This window comes from Homo sapiens, chromosome 8 (assembly GCF_000001405.40).
Source record: "Homo sapiens chromosome 8, GRCh38.p14 Primary Assembly".
NCBI classification, from domain to species: Eukaryota; Metazoa; Chordata; class Mammalia; order Primates; family Hominidae; genus Homo; species Homo sapiens.
This window is the reverse complement of record NC_000008.11, coordinates 24,148,377-24,172,063: the sequence shown is the minus strand read 5'-3', so window position 1 is coordinate 24,172,063 and position 23,687 is coordinate 24,148,377. Positions and strand designations below refer to the sequence as shown.

Here is a 23,687-nt window from a genome sequence, read left to right as displayed (position 1 = left end):
TGTGGCAGAAGGGTGGAACATCACCTCTGATTTAGGATCGTACACCAATGCTAAGCAGAAGTCTGCTACCACTAGCAGAAGGGCAGTAAACTCTCTCTTGCCCAAAAATGACTACAGATAAAAACAGATAATTTCTGCAATGGAAAGGATGTGTAAGAACATTGAGATAGCTGTAAATATAAGACTGACATGCACTGAGTTAGGCTAAGCCTGAAACTGGAGCAGGGTAACAGAGGACTTTGCTTCCCCTACCATGAACCCAGTACTAAGTAACAAGAGCAGTCTACTTTTGGGAGAGGGAAAGACTCTGGAAGAGCCCTCTCTGTGGCTGAGACACACCAGGATGGTTAAAAACTGAAGGAAAGGTGGAAAAGAAAAGCAATAGTGCCCCCTTATACATAATTTCACCTTCCACAGTTTCAGTCACCCACAGTCAACCATGGTTTGAAAATAGGAGAGTATAATACCAGAAGATATTTTGAGAGAGAGAGAGAGAGAGAGAGACCACATTCATTTGATTTTTATTACAGTATATTGTTATAACTTTTCTCTATTATTGTTGTTAATCTCTTATGCCTAACTTATAAATTAAATTTATCATAGGTATGTGTGTTTAGGAAAAAATACGGTATAGTATTAATATATATAGTATAAGGGTTGGTATTATCCATCATTTCTGGCATTCATAAAAACCTTTTGGTATCCCATTCCCCACTCTTACTACAAGATAACAGCAGACCATTGTTAGAGAACTTTGAAACCTGTGGTTTACTGGAGGTAATGATAGCAACAACAAAACCCAAAGATAACTCAACTCCTGACTAGAATAAGTCAAGTCTCCACAACAACAGCCTGACATGCCTGTTTCCAGCCATGAATACAGTATATCTCAGTCTTTACTACATCATTTTCAGAATTCAATAAAAAATCCAGAGACGAAAAATAGAGCAAGGAAAAACAACTGGGTCAAGAGCTAAAGCAGACAATATAACTAGATTCGGAGATAATTCAGGCACTGAGAGTAACAGTGAGAGAGTTTGGAATTTGAAATAACTATGACTAATATGCCAAAACCCTTAGCAGAAAACATGGAAAAAAATGAATAAACACGTGGGAAACTTCAGCAGAAAAATTAGAAAAAATCAGATGAAAATATTATAAATACGCATACATATGCATACACACAATATCAGAGATAAAGCATTCTTTTGATGGGATCACCAGATTTACCACAAGCTGTAAAATAATCAGTGAACTAAAAATGTGTCAGTATAGATTAATTTTAATATGTTCAAATTGAAACACAGAGAAAAAAATTCATAAAACAAGGACCACCCAATATTGGATAATATTTCCTTATCTCATTAACATGTAGTTAAAATACTAGGAGAGAAAAATGAGGCAGAAGAAATATTTGAAGACACAACAAAAGATATCAAACCATAGATCCAAAAAGCTCAGAGAAAGCCAAGCAGGATAAATACCAAACAGAGATATAGTAAAGCTATCGAAGAAGAATAAAAAAAAATCTGCAAAAGTCAGGAAAAAATCAAAACACATTGCATACAAAAAACGAAGATAAGAACAACAGCAGAAATCATTTAATTCAGAGGACAATGCAGTGACATTTTTTACAGTAATGGAAAAAAAAGGCAATGTAGAATTCTATACCCAGCAAAAGTATCCTTCAAAAATGAAGATAAAATATAAAATATTTTCAGACAAGCAAAATCTTAAAGGATTACTTGCCAAAATATCTGAGCTACACAAAATGTTAAAGAAAATTATTCAGGAAGAAGGCATATGATACTAGACAGACATGTGGAAGAGTGTTTGAAATGGTAAAAAATTAATGTAGATATAAAACATATTTTCTTCTTTTTAATCACTAAAATATATACTTATCTAAAGTTTTATTTTGACTATGCCAACTTTGAATTTCTCTTAGATAATCCAAATGAAGAAATCAAGAAGTTGGTTAAATCAACAATCCTGGAGCTCAGTGGGGTAAACTGAAACCGGAAACATTTAAATATTGTTAGCATGCAGGTGACATTTAAAGCCACAAGACCAGAAAAGATGATCTACAAAGAGGGTATAATTTGAGAAAATAAGAATGTAAGCACTGAGTCTTAGGAATATTTAACATGTGGACACAAGGAAGAGAAAAATGACCCAGAAAAGAAAATTGAAAGGCTTGGTATGTGAGCAAGAAAGAAAACCTGGAAGTGTTTGGTTTCAGAAGCCAAATGAAGACAGAATTTCAAGATAGTGGGACTGGCTTACTATCTGGAAGTGCTATCAACCAAAGTCTAATACTATGCAGATAGCAACTAGCATGGCCAATTTTGGGAATTCAAAGAAAAAATTTTAATGGAAGTGTTAATTACTATAATTCATTACAATGATACATCAAAGGAGATGAATAATACAATTATGTTTATAAATGTCCCAATAAGAAAGAGTAAAGGATATTAAGAGTAGAAATCTGAAACTCAGCGACTACTTTCAAACATAGTACTTGAAAAGTTTTCTAATTATTTAAAATATAATATCCTAATTTGTATAACTGGAGTTATAAGAGTCCTGATTTATAGAGGTGAGGTTGCAGTGGAATCATATAGGTAAAGTTCTTAGGATAGGGGTCATAGAAAGTACTGAATTTTTTTTTTTTTTTTGAGGCAGGGTTTCACTCTGTCACCCAGTCTGGAGTGCAGTGCTGTGATCATGGCTCACTGCAGCCTCAACTTCTGGACTCAGGTGATTCTCTTGCCTCAGTCTCCCAAGTAGCTGGGACTATGTGCACCACCATGCCTGGCTAATTTTAATACTTTTTGTAGTGACAGGATCTCGCTATGTTGCCCAGGCTGGTCTAGAATTTCTGGGCTCAAGCAATCCGCCCACATCAGCCTCTTAAAGGGCTGGGATTACAGGTGTGAGACACTGTGCCTGGACTGAATAATCATTTTTAATTAAAATTTGATAAGAATGAACTCCCATTCCTAACTGTTAAAGAAGATTATTTTTCTTTAACATGATAAAAAGTCTTAAACTACAGCAAAACTTTAAGGTAAATTAATTTTCACTGCAGTTACTTAACAATATCTTGGAAGTTCATGCTAGGTGAGAGAGTTCTAAAGAAAACAAGTAATTGCTATTAGAAAAGGAAAGAGTAACATCACCTGTCTGCAGATAATATAATTATCTATCTAGAAATTTAGAGAGAATAAAGTACTATTTAAACCAAGGTAATTTGCTCATATATCCAGATGAAAAATAAATGTGTGACAACTAGTACTCTTGCTATTTATCAGTAACTCTCTGGTAGGGTACATGAGAAAGGCCATATCTCATTGATTATTCAAATTTTAAAATATTAAATATCCAAAAATGCATAGTCATTGTATATCCATATATTATCAAAATATTCAGAGTATTATTACATTCTTTTCAGGGACATAAAATAACATCTTAATTATATATGTGTGTAATATTCTCAGATGGGAAAATGCCATAAACAGCTATCCCCAACACATTTATATAGATTTTTTTCAAAAATTAGAAGAAAAATTCCTTCTGGAAGGAACAGTTTTAATTTTTTTTCTCCTAAGTTCAACACTTCTTTTTGGGAAGAATAGAAAGATCAGCCAATAAAATGTTAAATGACAAGAGTCAGAAGGAGGGCACTTACTAGCCTCCCAGACAGTAAAACATACAAAAAATTCATGATGATAAAAACAGTATTTGTACTGGTGTAGTAGTAAAGTTCACTTTATATATGAATATAAATATCATATTCTGAAGGCATGCTGAATTAGTGTGTTTCAAATTAATGGAACTGGAAAGACTGACTAATCATTTGAAAGTAAATTAAGAATCTTATTTTGCCATGAGCCCAAATATGCAGCAGATGAACTGAAGACAAACATATAAATAATGGAACCATTAATTTTTAAGATGAATGTATTTGTAAATCTTTCTAAAATTTCAGCTTTAGGGATTACTTTTGCCTTATTGTAATAAAGACTAGCTTTCTAAATTTCAAAGATGGATCTAGAGGATATTTTGTCCTTCAAATGAGTGGGATTTTACACTAGAAATACAGGCTCACAAGATAGGAAACTAAGCAAGTTTTAATTTTTCCTCCTAGACTGTTCCTGTGGGTAATGAAATGGCAGGGAGTGGTAGCTAAAGATAGTAGAGAGGAATAGAGATTTTCACACTCTCAGCTGAATTGGTGCACACCAATGGAAAAGAGATTAGACTTTAATCTTGCTGCCTGTGTGTCTCCAAGAAAACTGGGTCTTGTCTTCCCAGGGAAGGCACTCTACTTCCCCTTGCAGGTCTTAACACTCAAACAACTGCAGCTTTGGTGAAGTGCCTATCTTATTTCATAGAACTACTCCAGACAGCCACCTGGAAGTCTCTGTTTATAGGGCCAACTAGGTATGGTTTAAATCTTATCAAGAATTGCCAAGAAGACTCAATTTTCTCTTATCTCTCTCTCTCTCATACACATATCCTACTTAAAATATATTACGAAATATTCTTTCATTAAAAAAATTTAATTCTAAATTTAATTCTAAATTCAAGCTTTTGCCTTATTAACTTGAATCTGTCAACTTTATACTTAACTCACATAATGTCTACAAGTTTCCAGCAATTTAGTGAACATGCTGGTGTTAAAGTATTTTTATAAAAGAGTGTGATACCACAGTTTCTTCCCCTAAATAAATGTTGGGTGAAAAATTAACATCTGACAGGAGATAATATTTGCAGCATATAAGAGTTAATATCAATACATCTTTAAAATCTTAATAAATAAGGGACAAATAAATATCCCAATGGAAATTTTGGAAAATGCCTAAGCAAACAATTCAGAAATGGATAAATATATATCAGCAATTAACATAGATTTAAAATGTTCATTTTTCCTAGAAAGCTAAGTAGATGCAAATTAAAACAGTAATACAACATTTTAAATTTTCAAATGGGATTTTAAAAATAAAATAACAAGACTGTATAAATAGGAATTTTTATATATTTTTAAAAATTGTAAACGGACACCATATTTAGGACAATTCAGCAGTACATAGTAAGAAATAAATTTCTCACTGAATGCCAAGACATTCTTTTAAGCTACTGTGTATATTAGCTCACTTAATCTTCATAACAGTCTTGAGGTGTAGGTATTATTATAGATGGTGGACACTACAGAAGTGAGAAAAATGACACACAGAGGGTATTTGTGACATTCCTAGGTGACATAGCTAGCAGGGGGCAGGACCAGGGGTCTAACTAAGGCAGGCTGCTTTCACAGTCCAACTTCAAAAGTACTCTTCTGTCACCCTGCTCAAGGTTTTACAATAGAAGTACTGCTGACATACAAACTTACGTTAGAAGAAGATGCTAAGGAAATAGTCATGAACATCCATAAAAATTTCCTTACCAATGTATCTTAGCAACACCGTTTACACTAGAAGAAAATTGAAAACATCCAACACAGAGCGTACCTGAATATAATAAGTGAAATAAAGATATATTGAAGTTATTAAAATGTTATAAAAAGTATGAGATGATATAAAAAATGTGCAATATATTTATTTGGTGAAAATACGTTAAAACAGTACAATATAACATTGTTTACAGACTCTGAAATTATAAATATCAAGGTAATGGGTTATTGTGTTTGATTAACGATATTTTTGTTTACTTTTAAGGTGTATTTATTTCTATAAATATTATAAAAAATCAAATAAATCTTTTAAGATAGAAGAAAACACATATGAAATTACTTAGTCTCCTCTAGGTAGACAGGGTTATTGTTTCTTTTTTGTAACTTTCATTTTAGGTTCAGTGGTACATGTGAAGGTTTCTTATATAGGTAAATTTGTGTCCTAAAGGTTTGTTGTACAGATTATTTCATCAACCAGGTATTAACCCTGGTACTCAATAGTTATTTTATTTATTTATTTGTTTTTGCTCCTCTCTTTCCTCCCACCCTCCACCTTCAGGAAAAACTGAAAAGAATTCAACATGATATTTTTATATTTGACTATATAAAAATGTAAAATATCTGTATGATAAAATCATTAAACTTTGAGGGCAAATTTTAAAATGTGAAAAATAAATGCTTCTCATTATACCTCACTCAAAATGTTTAATTTCTTTAATATATTAAAAGTTATTGTACATTGATAAGGAAAAAAACTAAACCAGAAAAATAAGCACTCTGACAGGAGGTAAATTAAAAAACAAAAGACACACACAAATGGCCAAAAGCACATTTAAGCATTGTGATGGTTAATATTGTCAAGTTGATTGGACTGAAAGATGCAAAGTATTGTTCCTGGGTGTGTCTGTGACAGTGTTGCCAGAGAAGATTAACATTTGAGTCAGTGGAGTGAGAGAGGTAGACTCACCCTCAATATGGGTGGGCACCATCCAATTGGATGCCAGTGCAGGCAGGAGAAGGCAGGCAGGAGAAGGTGGAAATAGCAAACTTGCTGAGTCTTCTGGCCTTCATCTTTCTCCCGTGCTGGATGCTTCCTGCCCTTGAACATCAGACTCCAAGTTCTTCGGCTTTTGGACTCTTGGACTTACACCAGTGGTTTTCCAGGGGCTCTTGGATCTTTGGCAACAGACTGAAGGCTGCACTGTTGGCTTCCCTACTTTTGAGGTTTTGGGACTTGGACTGAGCCAGTGTTAGCTTCCTTGCTCCTCAGCTTGCTGATGACCTATCGTGGGACTTGAGAGCCACAAGTAACAGACACCCCAAATTTAACTGGCATGTGTAACTGTCACTACTACTATCAATATGCTTGTATTAGGGTTCTCTACAGGGACAGACTAATAGAATATACGTATATATGAAAGGGAGTTTATTAAGGAGAATTGACTCACAGGATCACAAGGTGAAGTCCCACGATAGGTCACTATTATTACTCATCTAGACTAATGCAACGCTTCCTAACTGGTCCCTGGGATTCTGCCCTTACTCTTGGGCCCTCAAGTTCTCTTCTCCATTCAAAAGCCAGAGTGGCATTTAAAAGCTTAAAGCAGAGCATGGTACTCTGCTTCTCAGAACTAGCCAGGAACTTTCTATTGCACTGCCAATAAAATGCAAGCTACAATATTGCCCACCCTATGTCCTTTGTAAGGCTTACTCACTTTCCACCAAGCGATTTGTTATTTATGAATTATTACTTGTTTATTTTAAATATATGTCAGTATCTAACATAAGTAATTATATAGGCTAGGACCTTGTTGTATTGTTTATAGCTATATGCTGAGCACCTAGAAAAGTGCCTGAAACAGTGGGAGCTCTATAAAGATTCGTAGAATGGAATAGAATGCATGACTGAATTAATGAAATGATAATAGTGAAGGGAGTGCTCTTAAGTCAGTAAGGTAAAATTTAAAAGGTGAAATGAGAACACATTTTACTTCATTGGGAACATATCTGATCTATTTAAAGATCATTCCAATGTTCATTCCAATTATCCATGATTCTCAAAGCAGAATCAAGCACACGTTTTGATTTTGCTTTAAAAATCAGGGGTCTCAACTGATCTTATTTAATTTCACCTATAACTTTTTTTGTTTATGCATTAAATGCAAATGAAAGGTCAATATCAGGTCAATATAGTTTGTCACGCAGGAAGTCCTCACAAGGAAGAGAGGTCGTAACACTGATCATTCAGGGAATAGTTCATCTATATAATCTGCTCAGAATTTATTAAGAAAGAATTAAGTGTATATTTTAGATTGACTGTCTCAAAAGTTGTTTCTTCTCCAATATTTAGGAAAAAAAATTTTATTAAAAATATGAGCTGGCTTTCTGGGCAGGGCATCTCCAAAAAAAAGGCAGCAGCCCCAGTCAGGGTCTTATGGATAAAACTCTCATCTCCCTGGGACAGAGCACCTAGGAGAAGGGGTGGCTGTGGGCCCAGCTTCAGCCAATTTAAACGTCCCTGCCTGCTGGCTCTGAAGACCGTGGCGGATCTCCCAGCACAGCATTTGAGCTCTGCTAAGGGTCAGACTGCCACGTCAAGAAGGTCCCTGACCCCCATGTCTCCTGACTGGGAGATACCTCCCAGCAGGGGCCGACAGACACCTCATACAGGAGAGATCTCGCTGGCACCTGGCAGGTGCCCCTCTGGGACAAAGCTTCCAGACCAAGGAACAGGCAGCAATCTTTGCTGTTCGGCAGCCTCTGCTGGTGATACTCAGGCAAACAGGATCTGAAGTGGACCTCCAGCAGACCTGCAGCGGACGGGCCTGGCTGTTAGAAGGAAAACTAACAGCAGATAGGAATACCATCAACATCAACAAAAAAGACATCCACTCAGAAACCACATCAGAAGGTCACCAAATGAAAGACTAAAAGTAAATAAGTCCACAAAGATGGGGAGAAACCCACACAAGAAGGCTGAAAATTCCAAAACCCAGAAAGCCTCTTCTCCTCCAAAGGATCACAACTCCTCACCAGCAAGGGAACAAAACTGGATGGAGAATGAGTTTGATGAATTGATAGAAGTAGGCTTCAGAAGGTGGATAATAAACTCCTCCAAGCTAAAGGAGCATGTTCTAACCCAATGCAAGGAAGCTAAAACCTTGAAAAAAGGTTATTAGATGAATTGCTAACTAGAATAACCAGTTCAGAGAAGAACATAAATGACCTGATGGAGCTGAAAAACACAGCATGAGAACTTCGTGAAGCATACACAAGTATCAATAGCCAAATTGATCAAGCAGAAGAAAGGATATCAGAGATTGAAGATCAACTTAAAGAAGGTGTGAAGACAAGATTAGAGAAAAAAGAATGAAAAGGAATGAACAAAGCCTCCAAGAAACACGGGACTATGTGGAAAGATCAAACCTACGTTTGCTTGGTGTACATGAAAGTGACGGGGAGAATGGAACCACGCTGGAAAACACTCTTCAGATTATTATGCAGGAGAACTTCCCCAACCTAGCAAGACAGGACAACATTTAAATTCAGGAAATACAGAGAACACCACAAAAATACTCCTTGAGAACAGCAACCCCAAGACACATAATCATCAGATTCACCAAGGTTAAAACGAAGGAAAAAATGTTAAGTGCAGCCAGAGAGAAAGTTTGGGTTACCCACAAAGAGAAGCCCATCAGACTAACAGCAGATCACTCAGCAGAAACCCTACAAGCCAGAAGAGAGTGGGGGCCAATACTCAACATTCTTAAAGAGAAGAATTTTCAACCCAGAATTTCATATCCTGACAAACTAAGCTTCCTAAGAGAAGGAGAAATAAAATCCTTTACAGACAAGCAAATGCTGAGAGATTTTGTCACCACCAGGCCTGCCTTACAAGAGCTCCTGAAGGAAGCACTAAACATGGAAAGGAACAATTGGTAAAAACCACTGCAAACACATACCAAATTGTAAAGACCATTGGCGCTATGAAGAAACTGCATCAACTAACAGGCAAAATAACCAGCTAGCATCATAATGACGGGATCAAATTCATACATAACAATATTAACCTTAAATGTAAATGGGCTAAATGCCCCAATTAAAAGACACAGACAGGCAAATTTGATAAAGAGTCAAGAGCCATCAGTGTGCTGTATTCAGGAGCCCCATCTCATGTGCAAAGACACACATAGGCTCAAAATAAAGAGATGGAGGAAGATCTACCAAGCAAATGGAGAGCAAAAAAAGCAGGGGTTGCAATCCTAGTCTCCCTGAAAAAACAGACTTTAAACCAACAAAGATCAAAAGAGATAAAGAAGGGCATTACATAATAGTAAAGGGATCAATGCAACAAGAAGAGCTAACTATCCTAAATATATATGCACCCAGTACAGGAGCACCCAGATTCATAAAGCAAGTTCTTAGAGACCTACAAAGAGAATTAGACTCCTACACAATAATAGTGGGAGACTTTAACACCCACCCCACTGTCCATATTAGATCAATGAGACAGAAAATTAACAAGGATATTCAGGACTTGAACTCAGCTCTGTACCAAGTGGACCTAATAGACATCTATAGAACTCTCCACCCCAAATCAACAGAATATACATTCTTCTCAGCACATCACGCTTTTCTAAAATTGACCATATAATTGCAAGTAAAACACTCCTCAGCAAATGCAAAAGAACAGAAATTATAACAAACAGTCTCTCAGACCACAGTGCAATCAAATTAGAACTCAGGATTAAGAAACTCACTCAAAACCACACAACTACATGGAAACTGAACAACCTGCTCCTGAATGACTACTCAGTAAATAACAAAATTAAGACAGAAATAAATAAGTTGTTTGAAACCGATGAGAACAAAGACACAATGTACCAGAATCTCTGGGACACAGCTAAAGCAGTGTTTAGAGGGAAATTTATGGCACTAAATGCCTACCAGAGAAAGCAGGAAAGATCTAAAATCGACACCTTAATGTCACAATTAAAAGAACTAGAGAAGCAAGAGCAAACAATTTCTAAAGTTAGCAGAAGACAAGAAGTAACTAAGATCAGAGCGGAACTGAAGAAGATGGAGACATGAAACACCCTTCAAAATATCAATGAATCCAGGAGCTGGTTTTTTGAAAAGATCAACAAAATAGATAGACCGCTAACCAAACTAATGAAGAAAAGAGAAGAATCAAACAGATGCAATAAAAAATGATAAAGGGGATATCACCACTGATCCCACAGAAATACAAACTACCATCATAGAATACTACAAACACCTCTACACAAATAAACTAGAAATTCTAGAAGAAATGGATAAACTCCTGGACACTTACACCCTCCAAAGTCTAAACCAGGAAGAAGTAGAATCCTTGAACAGACCAATAACAATTTCTGAAATTGAGGCAGTAATAGCCTACCAACCAAAAAAAAAGTCCAGGACCAGACAGATTCACAGCCAAATTCTACCACTGGTACAAAAAGGAGCTGGTACCATTCCTTCTAAAAGTATTCCAGACTGTAGAAAAAGATGGACTCCTCCCTAACTCCTTTTACGAGGCCAGCATCATCCTGATACAAAAACCTGGCAGAGACACAACAACAACAAAAGGAAAATTTCAGGCCAATATCCCTGATGAATATCAATGTGAAAATCCTCAATAAAATACTGGCAAACTGAATCCAGCAGCACATCAAAAAGCTTATCCACCATGATCAAGTCAGCTTCATCCCTGAGATGCAAGGCTGCCTCAACATATGCAAATCGATAAACATAATCCGTCACATAAACAGAACCAATGACAAAAACCACACGATTATCTCAATAGACACAGAAAAGGCCTTTGATAAAATTCAGTACCCCTTCATGCTAAAAACTCTCAGTAAACTAGGTATTGATGGAATGTATCTCAAAATAAGAATTATTTATGACAAATCACAGCCAACATCATACTGAATGGGCAAAAACTGGAAGCATTCCCTTTGAAAACCAGCACAAGACAAGGATGCCCTCTCTTACCACTCCTATTCGACATAGTATTGGAATTTCTGTCCAGGGCAATCAGGCAAGATAAAGAAATAAAGGGTATTCAAACAGGAAGACAGGAAGTAAAGTTGCCTCTGTTTGCAAATGACATGATTGTATATTTAGAAAACCCCATCATCTCAGCCAAAAATCCTCTTAAGCTGATACGCAATTTCAGCAAAGTCTCAGGATACAAAAGCAATGTGCAAAAATCACAAGCATTCCTATACACCAATAATCGACAATCAGAGAGCCAAATCACGAGTGAACTCCTATTCACAATTGCTACAAAGAGAATAGAATACCTAGGAATACAACTAACAAGGGATGTGAAGGGACCTCTTCAAGGAGAACTACAAACCACTGCTCAAGGAAATAAGAGAGGACACAAATAAATGGAAAAATATTCCATGCTCATGGATAGCAAGAATCAATATCGTGAAAATGGCCATACTGCCCAAAGTAATTTATAGATTTGATGCTATCCCATCAAGCTACCATTGACTTTCTTCACAGAATTAGAAAAAACTACTTTAAATTTCATATGGACCAAAATAGAGCCCACATAGCCAACACAATTCTAAGCAAAAAGAACAAAGCTGGAGGCATCACGCTACCTGACTTCAAACTATACTACAAGGCTACAGTAACCAAAATAGCATGGCACTGGTACCAAAACAGATATATAGACCAATGGAACAGAACAGAGGCCTCAGATATAACACCACACATCTACAACCATCTGATCTTTGACAAACCTGACAAAAACAAGCAATGGGGAAAGGATTCTCTATTCAATAAATGCTGTTGGAAAAACTGGCTAGCCATATGCAGAAAACTGAAACTGGACTCCTTCCTTACACCTTACACAAAAATTAACTCAAGATGGATTAAAGACTTAAAAATAAGACTTAAAACCATAAGAACCCTAGAAGAAAACCTAGGCAATACCATTCAGGACATAGGCATGGGCCAAGACTTCCTGACTAAAACACCAAAAGCAATGGCAACAGAAGCCAACATTGACAAATGGGATCTAATTAAGCTAAAGAGCTTCTGCACAGCAAAAGAAACTGTCATCAGAGTGAACAGGCATCCTACAGAATGGGAAAAAATTTTTGCAATCTATCCATCTGACAAAGGGCTAATATACAGAATCTACAAAGAACTTAAAAAATTTACAAGAAATAAAAAACAACCCCATCAAAAAGTGGGCAAAGGAAATGAACAGATACTTCTCAAAAGAAGACATTTGTGCAGCCAACAGATATATGAAAAAAAGCTCATCATCACTGGTCATCAGAGAAATGCAAATCAAAACCACAATGAGATACCATCTCACACCAGTTAGAATGATGATCATTAAAAAGTCAGGAAACAACAGATGCTGGGGAGGATGTGGAGAAATAGAATGCTTTTACACTGTTGGTGGGAGTGTAAATTAGCTTAACCATTATGGAAGACAGTGTGGTGATTCCTCATGGATCTAGAAACAGAAATACCATTTGACCCAGCAACGCCATTATTTGGTATATACCCAAAGGAGTATAAATCATTCTACTATAAAGACATATGCACGTGTATGTTTATTGTGGCACTGTTCACAATAGCAAAGACTTGGAACCAACCCAAATGTCGATCAATGATAGACTGGATAAAGAAAATGTGGCACATATACACTATGGAATACTATGCAGCCATAAAAAACCATGAGTTCATGTCCTTTGCAGGGACATGGATGAAGCTAGAAATCATCATTCTCAGCAAACTAACACAAGAACAGAAAACCAAACACTGCATGTTCTCACTCATAAGTGGGAGTTGAACAATGAGAACACTTGGACACAGGAAGGGGAACATCACACACCGGGGCCTGTCGGTTGTTGGGGGGCTAGGGGAGGTATAGCATTAGGAGAAATACCTAATGTAGATGACGGGTTGATGGGTGCAGCAAACCACCATGGCATGTGTATATCTATGTTACAAACCTGCACGTTCTGCACATACATCCCAGAACTTGAAGTATAATAAACAAATATATGAGATGATCTCCAAGAGATTTATATACCTTTGTTCACATCCTACTGTGAATAATAACATTATTCACAATAGCCAAAAGGTGGAAGCAACCCATGTGTCTACCAACAGATGAATGGATAAACAAAATGTGGTTTATGCATACAATGAAATATTACTATTCAGCCCTAAAAAGGAAGGAAATTCTGACACACGCTACAACATGAATGAACTTTTACGACATTATGCTAAGTGAAATGAGCCAGTCACAAAAAGACAAATACTGTACAATTCCATTTATATGAGGTACCTGGTATAGTTAAATCCCTAAAAACAAAGTAGAATGGGGACTGACAAGGGTATCAGGGGAATATAGAGTTATTGTTTAATGAGTACAGAATTTTAGTCTTGTAGGATGAAAAGGATTCTGGAGATTGATTGTAGGATAGAAAGCATTCTGGAGCAATGTGAATGTTCTTCACACCACTAAAGTATACATTTAAAAATGATTAAGATGGCACATTTTATGTTATGTATATTTTAACAAAATTAAATATTTAAAAAATAAGATGAAGTATACTTTTAATTCAACTACATGCAATGTTTCCAAAATAGATGGTGAAGGTAAACAAATCATTGGAAATCAAAGCTCACTCTTAGAAAGATCCTTGAACAATTCTCAGTTTACAAACCTTTCAAAGTTTTTTTATACTTTCAAGTATCATACAATGAGAGACTGGCACAAAAAAAATCAATCAGAAGATAGCCTGAAACCTTTAAAATTCAAAGGTTAGTTAAGTCAATTAACAAAGGTTAGAAAAATAAGCCTTCCAGGAGTGCCTTGTATCTTACTCTCCACAAAGTCACCCATCAATTTTATATCTTGAGTATGTCAAAGAATACCCAGATAACAAGTGCTGCCAACCAACCTTAGATCCTCTACAAGAACTTGTTATACTTGAGGTTTTCTTTGAATCAATAAAAAACTTATAAAAGCATTACACTTACAAGTCATGTTAAGTGCCTTCTGTTGATTTTTGGATATACATGGCCTCATTTATTTGTTCTGGCTTTTGCCATTGTCTTTGGTTTTAGATCTTCGTTACATGACAGTGTTTGTTAAACTCAGAAGTGGTAGGTCAAATTAAATATTTTGGTATTTTACATTTAGTTATATACCCTGTGGATAGAACCAGTTGTAAAAAAAAAAAATCAATCTAGTATTTGGAACTAATTTCACAAACATCATGTGATGCACATATACTTCTAGGCTGTAAGAGAGATTTTTATGCCCAGATGAAGTGACAAGTCACTACTTACTCAAGTTTATAAAAAATGGTGTTATTTACCATGTGCTGTTTCTCAAAAGAATGTTAAAGTGTTTTCAAATTTGAAAATGTAAATCAAATATGAGTTTCATTATTTGGAGTGTCAATGTAGTCTGGAATATTTTACAATTATGGCCATATTTGAAAAAAGAAAAAAACTCACATCACACACTCAATCCATGGTTGTCACCCTTTCAGATTGTCCTCTGCAGTATCTTTTTAGTCAATAAGTTCTCTGGATACGTATATTAACCCAGGGCTTTACTTTAATAAAAGGCTATTTGTTCTTTCTTTTTATAAAGACTTTTATTTTCCTTCTAGCAAAATACTGAGGTTACTCCAAAAATAATCCTGTCCACCAGTTTTAGATTAAGACCATCACATGCAACATTGTGAAGAATTACTGTAAACGTGTGTATAATGATTGCTCCAAATGTACCAGTAAATTACCGTGGACAGAATTTGAAGTATTATAGTTAAATAAAAAAATAAGTTGCTTTTGAATGTTAAAGCAACATTATTTACTTTCAAAACAAGGATATAGCAAATTTTGGAAATTATCTGGGTGATTTATGACTCAGTTTTTACATAATCAAGGCTTCAATGATCAGATTATTCTATTGCCCTTTCCTAGTTTCCAAAGCAGATATGGATTCAGCCAGAATAGTTTTAAAAGTTCATGTATTTCCTGAGTCATGGTGTTTCACAAGTGAGAATACACAATGAGAATGCTTCCGGCCCCAGTGGCATAGGATGTTTAACAGGGCTTAATCACATCCATAAAAGTCTCTCCTAAAACAAAACGTATTGCTTATGAATGACGTCTATTGCTGTCTTGTTTCTTTCAGGTGGTGACTTCGTGGACAAAAAAATGACTAATACACAATACCCAAAATAAATTATATCTCTTCCACTCCCATTTCCCACAAGCTCCTTCCCACACATACTTGTTTTAAGTGAATGGAAATAAAGCCAAAACAATCTAGACTGCCAAGTTCCATTGTGTATATAGTAGTCATTTTCAGCCTAGGGTGACATCCCAGCCTCTTCTCCCTGGCCCTCACAAATGCCCCTGCCCTTTTAATTACAGAAAGCATTCTTCTTGCACTTCTGCCCCAAAGAACTCAGAAGCATTTTTAAGGGATCTTTTTCTTACCAACATTTTGTAGCTAGAGATTATTGAATAGATATTATTGAAAGATAACACTACACCTAAGGATATTTCCATGTACTTGAGTCATCTCTGAGTAGAAAAATTAAACAATATAATACAGGGCTGAGAAAGACCAAAGAGACTGTCTAGTTCACCTTTCCTGTGTTAAAGACCAGCAAAGAGGTACTGCCAAGGCTTCAATGGTCAGATTATTATATTCTAAGCTAACTTGTCACTTAAGCACTAGCCCCGGCTAACTCTTCATCTAACACCATTTCTACTTTGTCAGTCTACCAAGTTGCTGACCTAGCAGTGAATCAGGATGAGAGAAGATGCCTAAAACCACTTAGTTGTTTAGACCTCAAGTCAAATACTTTAGGCAAGATGAATCAAGTACTGACTAAACTGAGATTTTTTTTTTCCAGGAATCAGGTAAACAGAGGAAAAAAAAATAACATACTTGAATTTTTCTCCTCTCATGCAACCTTTATTTCCTTTCCAGGAGATACTAATAAAAAATGGAGGAGAATGGGGAAGTAAAAGGAAAATAAAAAATTCAGATCACTTTCAAAAAATTAGATAATGCTTAGACTGTATCCACTCCAGTGTAGTCAAACTTGGTAAACCAAGGGTCTTTCAGCCACTTGGTAGCAGCAAATGAATTTTTTGTTGAACTGGATTAAGATGAAGAATAAAAATCAGACTAAGTTTTCCATTGTGTATCAAGATAGCTTTTTGTCAGATAGAGAAAAATTCTTCTCTGTAAATCTTATAATGTGTATTTTCCTCCTTGTGTTAATAGTTAGAAAACTCAGAGTCAAATTTATGGCCTCTCTCTAGCAATAATACAGTGTCTATTGCATGTATTTTTATTCTAATCTTAACCCTAGCTCCAACTTGTTCTCCTCTTTTTCACTCTCCCTTATTTGTGACTTATAATTTCAAATCATTTTTGGAGTGAGGAATAGTATAAATTAAACATATAATCCACAAACCATACATTTTATCATTTCTCTTCCTGGGCACAAGCTGAAAAAAAAAAAAAAAAACCCCAAGGGGAAAATGTATTCTATGCAGTGGTGAGAATGCTATTCATGAAGTTAAAACCAAGCTATACTATTCTCCTTTATTCTCCGGTTGTAGGGGATTTTCTTGGGAATTTACCTATGTTCCATGATAATGAGCAGAAATAGGAATACACTCAAATGAATAGAACTTGGCAAATCAAAATGTGCTCCTTCCTCCAAGCACACAGTCAATTTCCAGGTGATGGTTCATTAAAGTTGACACTAAGCACAGTCTTTGGGGCCAGTGGAATGTACTGGGAAATGTCACAGAACTTGTAGTATGAGGGGATTGGGGCAGGAGATACGTGTTTGTACGTGTATGTGTGTGCCCACATGTGTATTCATCTACTCACAGGTAAAACCAAATTCTTCTAGCCCAGAAATAAGACTCCATAGACCCATAAGACAAAATTCCTGAGATTGCAGGAGTCACATATTCTGGAGACTACTCTGTCCAACAATATTCAAATAAAGTTTCCTTAGTAGTTTTTTTTTTTTTAATTTTGTTGTGGTCAAGAACTGTAACACACAATTTGCCATCTTATTTTTTAAATTTGCAGTTCAGTAATGTTAAGCTCATTCACATTGTTGTGCAACAGATCTCTAGAATGCTTGTCATATTGCAGAACCAAAACCCTGTACCCATTAAACAATAATTCCTCATTACCCCCTCCCCACGCCAGCCCCTGGGGAACCACCATTTTACTTTCTGTTTCTATAAATTTGACTACTCTCTGTGCCTCACAGAAATAGAATCATACAGTATTTGTCTTTTTGAACTGGCTCATTTCACTTAGCGTAATGTCCTCAAGGTTCATCCATGTTGTACCATGTGTCAAAGTTTCATTTCTTTTTAAGGCTGAATAATATTCCATTGTGTGTATAAACTACATTTTGTTCATCCATTCATCTGTTGGTGGATACCTGGTTTGTTTCCACCTTTTGGCTATTGTAGAGAATAATGCTACAAACATGGGTGTGCACATTTCAAGTCCCTGCTTTCAATTATTTTGTGTATATACCCAGAAGTGAGATGGCTGGATCATATGGTACTATTTTCCATAGTGGCCGCACCATTTTACACTGCCACCAACAGTACAGAAGGGTTCCAATTTCTCCACATCCTTTTAAACAATTGTCATTTTATGTTTATTAGATAATAGTCATCCTAGTGCAAGTGAAGTAATATCTTATTGTGGTTCCATTTGTTTTGAAAATAGAATTTTCAGAAAACCATTCTGTATTTCAGAGGACGTTTAAGAGGAGAAAGAAGTATTCGATAAAAGATTAGTAGATTTACAAGTGATTTGTAAGAGAAAACAATCCTTATCAGACAGTCTGACATGAACTCTGTTAATAACATGAAAACAAAACCGATTCTCTCCTAAACTCCCAAAGCCTTGCCCTGGGTTTCAAGCCTCTATGACTAATACACTGATATAAACTGTGAGGCCTGGCTGGTTGTGATTTGTCATCACTGTTGAATTTCTTCAGAAACAGCAATAGGTGGCAGCAAAAAAGATTGTAAATGGTTTGTCTATTTAAAGAGAAAGCAGGAGTTCCAATTCATCCTTTTTACTTTTTTTTCCCCTAAGCATTCTTCATTTGATAAAACCCAAAACATATTTAGCCCTGAGCAACAACCCTTCCCCCTCTTTTTAAACATGTGTGTGTCTCAAGAGAATGCATCCATATGTTTCTGATTCATTTACAATTAATTCATCAAAATGTTGTTTTGATGTCCAAGAAGCTTTATTAAGGCTCTCTCATGTGTCTTTTTTCTTAGAAACAGGAAATCATGCCTTGCCAAGAGCCAAACTCAAAACACTAAAGGGTTTTGAGCTGCGTTTGAAACATTGGGACCTCAACATCTAAGCAGCTGCCAAACTTGGACGAGAACATCTCTTCATCTCTCCATGCAAGCCAAACTCAGATTTAATGTAAGATCCATCTTTGGCTCTTGAGATGCTGAGCATGACGCAAGCCCTTTTTGTATAAACACCATAACCTTCCAGGTGGGCAGCAAAGCAGTATGAGGATGAGAAGGAATATCAACAATTTTTTTAAAAAATTTATACTAGCAAAACATAATGAGTGTATTAAAATGGCTGTAGACAGTACGTTCACAGATAAACCCCTGAACAGTCTCTTTCATCTAGTCTGTCTTGTTTCCAGTTTGTAAGTGATCTCAAACAAAATGGCTTAACACCAGGTGATGTTAAATATTACAGAGCCAAAGCTGTTCTTTATCCACATGGTCTCTCTACATACCAAACTTTCCTTTCACAGGGATCAGTGTCATTCAGGCTTCAGTACTCTAAGCATCAATACTTCAACCATCTCTGGGATTCTGTTCCTCTTGCACCTGAACTCATACAGGTTTATATGTTACATCAACCCACTTCAAATGCTCCAGTCTAGCCAAATAGGTCAGCTTTCTCCAAATCTCACCTTATGCTTTCAGATCTTCAAGTCTTTGTTCAGATTCCTTGTTACTCTGCTTCTCTGCATCTCACTTTCCTTCCACTGGCTTTACTCTTGCTTCCTTCTGAAGGCCAGACATGTCAAGTTCACCCTGATACCATATCTCCTTCTTATAAATGCCTTACAGTACTTATTTTAGAATACATGGCCATTAGCCAGGCACTGTTCTGAAACATCTTTTTTTCTTTTTGACACAGGATCTCACTCTGTCACCTAGGCTGGAGTGCAGTGTGGCATGATCACAGCTCACAGCAGCCTCAACCTTCTAGGCTCAAGAGACCTCCCACCTCAGCCTCTCAAGTAGCTGAGGCTACAGGTGTGTCACCATGCCTGTCTGATTTTTTTATTTTTTGTAGAAATGGGGTTTTGCCGCATTGCTCATACTGGTCTCAAACTCCTGGGCTCAAGTGATCCATCCACCTTGGCCTCCCAAACGGCTGGGATTACAGGTGTGAGCCACCGTGCTCAGCCTAAAACATCTTTTTTGTTGCAATCTTACATATACTAAAAAATGAATTAGCCTAAATTGTTTTTCTAATATTATATTGCTTTTCTAACTACCTACTAGCATTTTATGTGCTAAGGAGAATAAATAATACATGAAGATTGTTTAACAAATGAGAAAAAATTAACTGCATTTAGAAAATCTCACATAAGAGATAAAGGAGGATTTTTTTATTTATGTAAGACTCTGGTTTTGTAAATATGGAAGCTGCAGATAATGATTCCAGAGGAATTTTTAGAGAAACAAAATTTAACAATGATATAATTACTGTGGAGGGGAAGGATCAAGGTCTAATCCTGCTAAAGTCACATCTACCAGGTATATTCCTAAGGTGCCTTAAAGTCTATTGTATATACCAGCATGAAAAGGAAACAAAAATTAAAATATGCATTTTATATTAATTTATAACAAATAATTATTGGTTAATGATATGAGAGTATACAGAATATTGCAAATCTGAAACAAATGTCAACCAAACTTTGTGAAAATGGTAGAAAGAACTCTAAAAAGAAAGAAAAAGAAATATTAAAGAAAATAATGCGACTGCATGCACAGCTTTACGGTAAGCTAAGATTTTCAAAACGACATTGGAGAGATGTGTAAAGTATGCTGAAGATATGTTTCCGCCTGCTTCAATCTGGAGGAGTTGAAGTCCATCTGCCACTGAAGGGGCAGAAGGGGAGAGTGGCCACTCTCAAAACTCTTCAGTGCCAGAAGAGCCAGAAAGATGATGAATATTACTCTTGAAAACATCAAAACCACCTAAGCCATTCCACTGACATCCCATGAAAGAGATCAAGTTCAGGGATACTGTTGCCAGTTACAAGAGCAAGATCCCCTTCGGGAGGGACTGGAAGTCCCTGCTGCTGGCTGACAGCAGAAAAGAAGCCTGAGAATCTGAAATCAAAGGAGCTTGCTTTTCAGGCCACAAAGTGTAAAACATGACTAAGAGAAAATCCAGTCTCAAGATATGGGCAACCAATTTCTGATCAACAGAAAACATCACATTTCACTAAAGCCAAGTCATACTAGATTAAGTGCAGTTCCATAAAGGAACAAGTTACAATTTGGGTGGGTAGGGGGCAAGATACCTGAGAAAATATCTGATAACAAGTGCTTAAAAAGTTGTACATAATCACTTTCCATTTTTTAATTGTAAGTAGAATTATGAGTTTGTGGTCCTAAAAGATAGGCATTTGATATTTAAATGCAATATAAAATGAATTTGGCTAATCAGTCTTATGATTCCAAATTTACAATGTATTATTAAATAATTGATGTTTAAGTTTTAAAATCTCATAAAGTTATAATATACAAAATAAAAGTTTTAAGACTTTAGGGAAAATTAATGTTTAGAAAAAGCTTAATGTATTACATTAGAAAATCTTAAGCATTTGGGAATATTTGTCTGATAATTAAAGTACTTTAAAAAAACTAAAACATATTAAAATAATTAATGCAGTTTAAAATTTTTTTTATTTTAAGTTTTTAAGTGATACCAAATATTAATCATATGCTTCCTAAAAAGTGATTGCTAAAATTTTCCAAATATAAATAGTAAAATAAGGGGTGATATCAGCAATGTGGAATAGGAAACCCAAGATCCTCTGCAAATACACTGAAAAATACACAGACTGATTCCCTCTGAGAAAAATCCAGAAACCTGTTAAGAGGCTTCTGAACCCCAGGCAAATGCCAATCCAGCCACATCAACACTGGTAGAAAAATTCATGGTACTCATAATAGTCCCTACCCCTGCCACAGTGCACTGATATGGGAGAAAACTCCCAGGTGTTAACTTCTTCCTGGGGAGAAAAATGAAGACCAGACCATACATCCAGTGTTCATACTTTGCAGTTGAGGCACTGCCCAAGGGATTGGCTCTATCTTGCTTAAATCTAAGAGCTAGCAGGAAAGGGCATAGGGTTGACGATACTGATAACAAAGGCAACAGACTGGGCTAGTATGCACTCGTTTGCCATAGTCCCTTTCACCAGCTCGGTGTGGAATAGTCAGGAGAACATCCCCAAACCTGGCTTCTCCCTGGGGCAGGAAAGAGTTGGAGTGTACATCCCACATTCCAGTTTTTCAAGGGGCCTGTCCAAGGAACTTATTTCTGTCTCATCTATCTCAGAGTGCTGATGGGACATGGCATACTGTAGATGCTTGGAAGCCACCAAGAACAAAAGAAACCTAGATGATTTGCTGTTCCAGAGGATGTGTAGTACAACAGACAGAAGTTAAAGCAACTTAATGGCCCTTTCCATTGGACAGGGGAGTGGAGTACAGATCCAACATTCCAGCTTTTAGGATAACTACCCAAGAAACTGTTTTCTGTCTCACCCAATGTGTATCACTGATGAGATCTAGTATATTTTAGAAGCCTGGGGGACACTGAAAGCAAACAAAAGAATTTGCAACAGCTCCACATAACCGCGGTACCATAGACAGACACCAGAGGGAATAAGATTTTAGAAATTCCATTAAGGGGCACCAGCAGATCCCTGAAATCAGGAATTTACTTGCACAATCCAGGGAAGACGCATCCACAGGAAAAAAAAAAAAAAAAAAAGAAAAAGAAAAAAATTGAGAAGTTGTCATAATCTCCAGCCAGGGTGATTAGTAAACGTCTTTTCCTGTATGAAGCCACTCCATAAAGACTGGGAGAGGAGGCTGTTTTTTAAAGTGTGTGGATTGCAACACAAAGTCATGAGGCACAGGAAGAAACAGAAGACATAGCCCATTCAAATGAATAAAATAAATTTCCAAAAATAACCCTAAAGAAACAGAGGTATGGGTGATGAATTCAAAGTGCTAAAATAAAAAAAAAACTGTCAACCAAGAATTTTATAGCCAGCAATATTATGCTTCAAAAATAAGGGAAAATAAAAACTTTCTCAGATAAAGAAATGCTGAGAAATGTCACCGCCATCAGACTTGCCTTCCAAGAAATGCTAAATGGAATCCTTCAAGCTGAAACTAAAAGATGCTAGACAGAAACACAAAAGTATCTAAAAGTATAAAACTAGCTGGTAAAAGTAAATACATAGACAGACACAGAATACTCATACAGTAATAGTGCATAAATCATTTGGTATAGAAGTTAAAAATAAGTATAAAAAACTATAGCATATAAAATATGTAAAATGGATATAAAATATACAAAGTTGTAATTTGTGACATCAATAACATAAAGTGTTCCAGAATGGGAAAATTCAAAGTACAGAGCTTGTGCATATAACTAAAGTTGTTATCACCTTAGAATACATGGTTATAATTATAAGACATTTTATGTAAGCCCTATGATAACCATGAAGACAATACCTATAGAAGATACAAAAAGAAAAGGAAAAGATAAAGCACATAATTATGACAAATAAATAAAATACAAAGGAAGATAGCAAGAGAGGAGAAGGACAACAAAACTAAGAGACAGACATAAAACAATTAACAAAATCTAATAATAATCCACTCCATCAGTAATTACTTTAAATGTAAATGGATAAAATTGTCCAATTAAAAGACATATAAAGGCTGAATGGATTTTAAATATGATTCAACCATATGCTGTCTGCAAGAAACTTGCTTTAGATTTATAGACATATATATGCTGAAGTAAAGAGATGGAAAAAATATTCCATGAAAATTGTAACCA

General features: G+C 36.0%; 1 long non-coding RNA gene across 1 annotated transcript in view, besides 1 other annotated feature; it reads right to left on the bottom strand.

Annotated features, from left to right (window-relative positions):
- LOC107986931 (uncharacterized) overlaps window positions 1-23,687 on the bottom strand; it is a 290,196-nt gene that overhangs the window by 35,465 nt on the left and 231,044 nt on the right. The gene's annotated exons all lie outside the window — the stretch shown is intronic.
- Window positions 4,161-4,361: a silencer, noted in NCBI's record as "peak6951 fragment used in MPRA reporter construct". NCBI's record gives its function as "represses an SCP1 promoter by STARR-seq MPRAs in K562 erythroleukemia cells {active_cell/tissue: K562}" and the evidence as "EXISTENCE:reporter gene assay evidence [ECO:0000049][PMID:32103011]".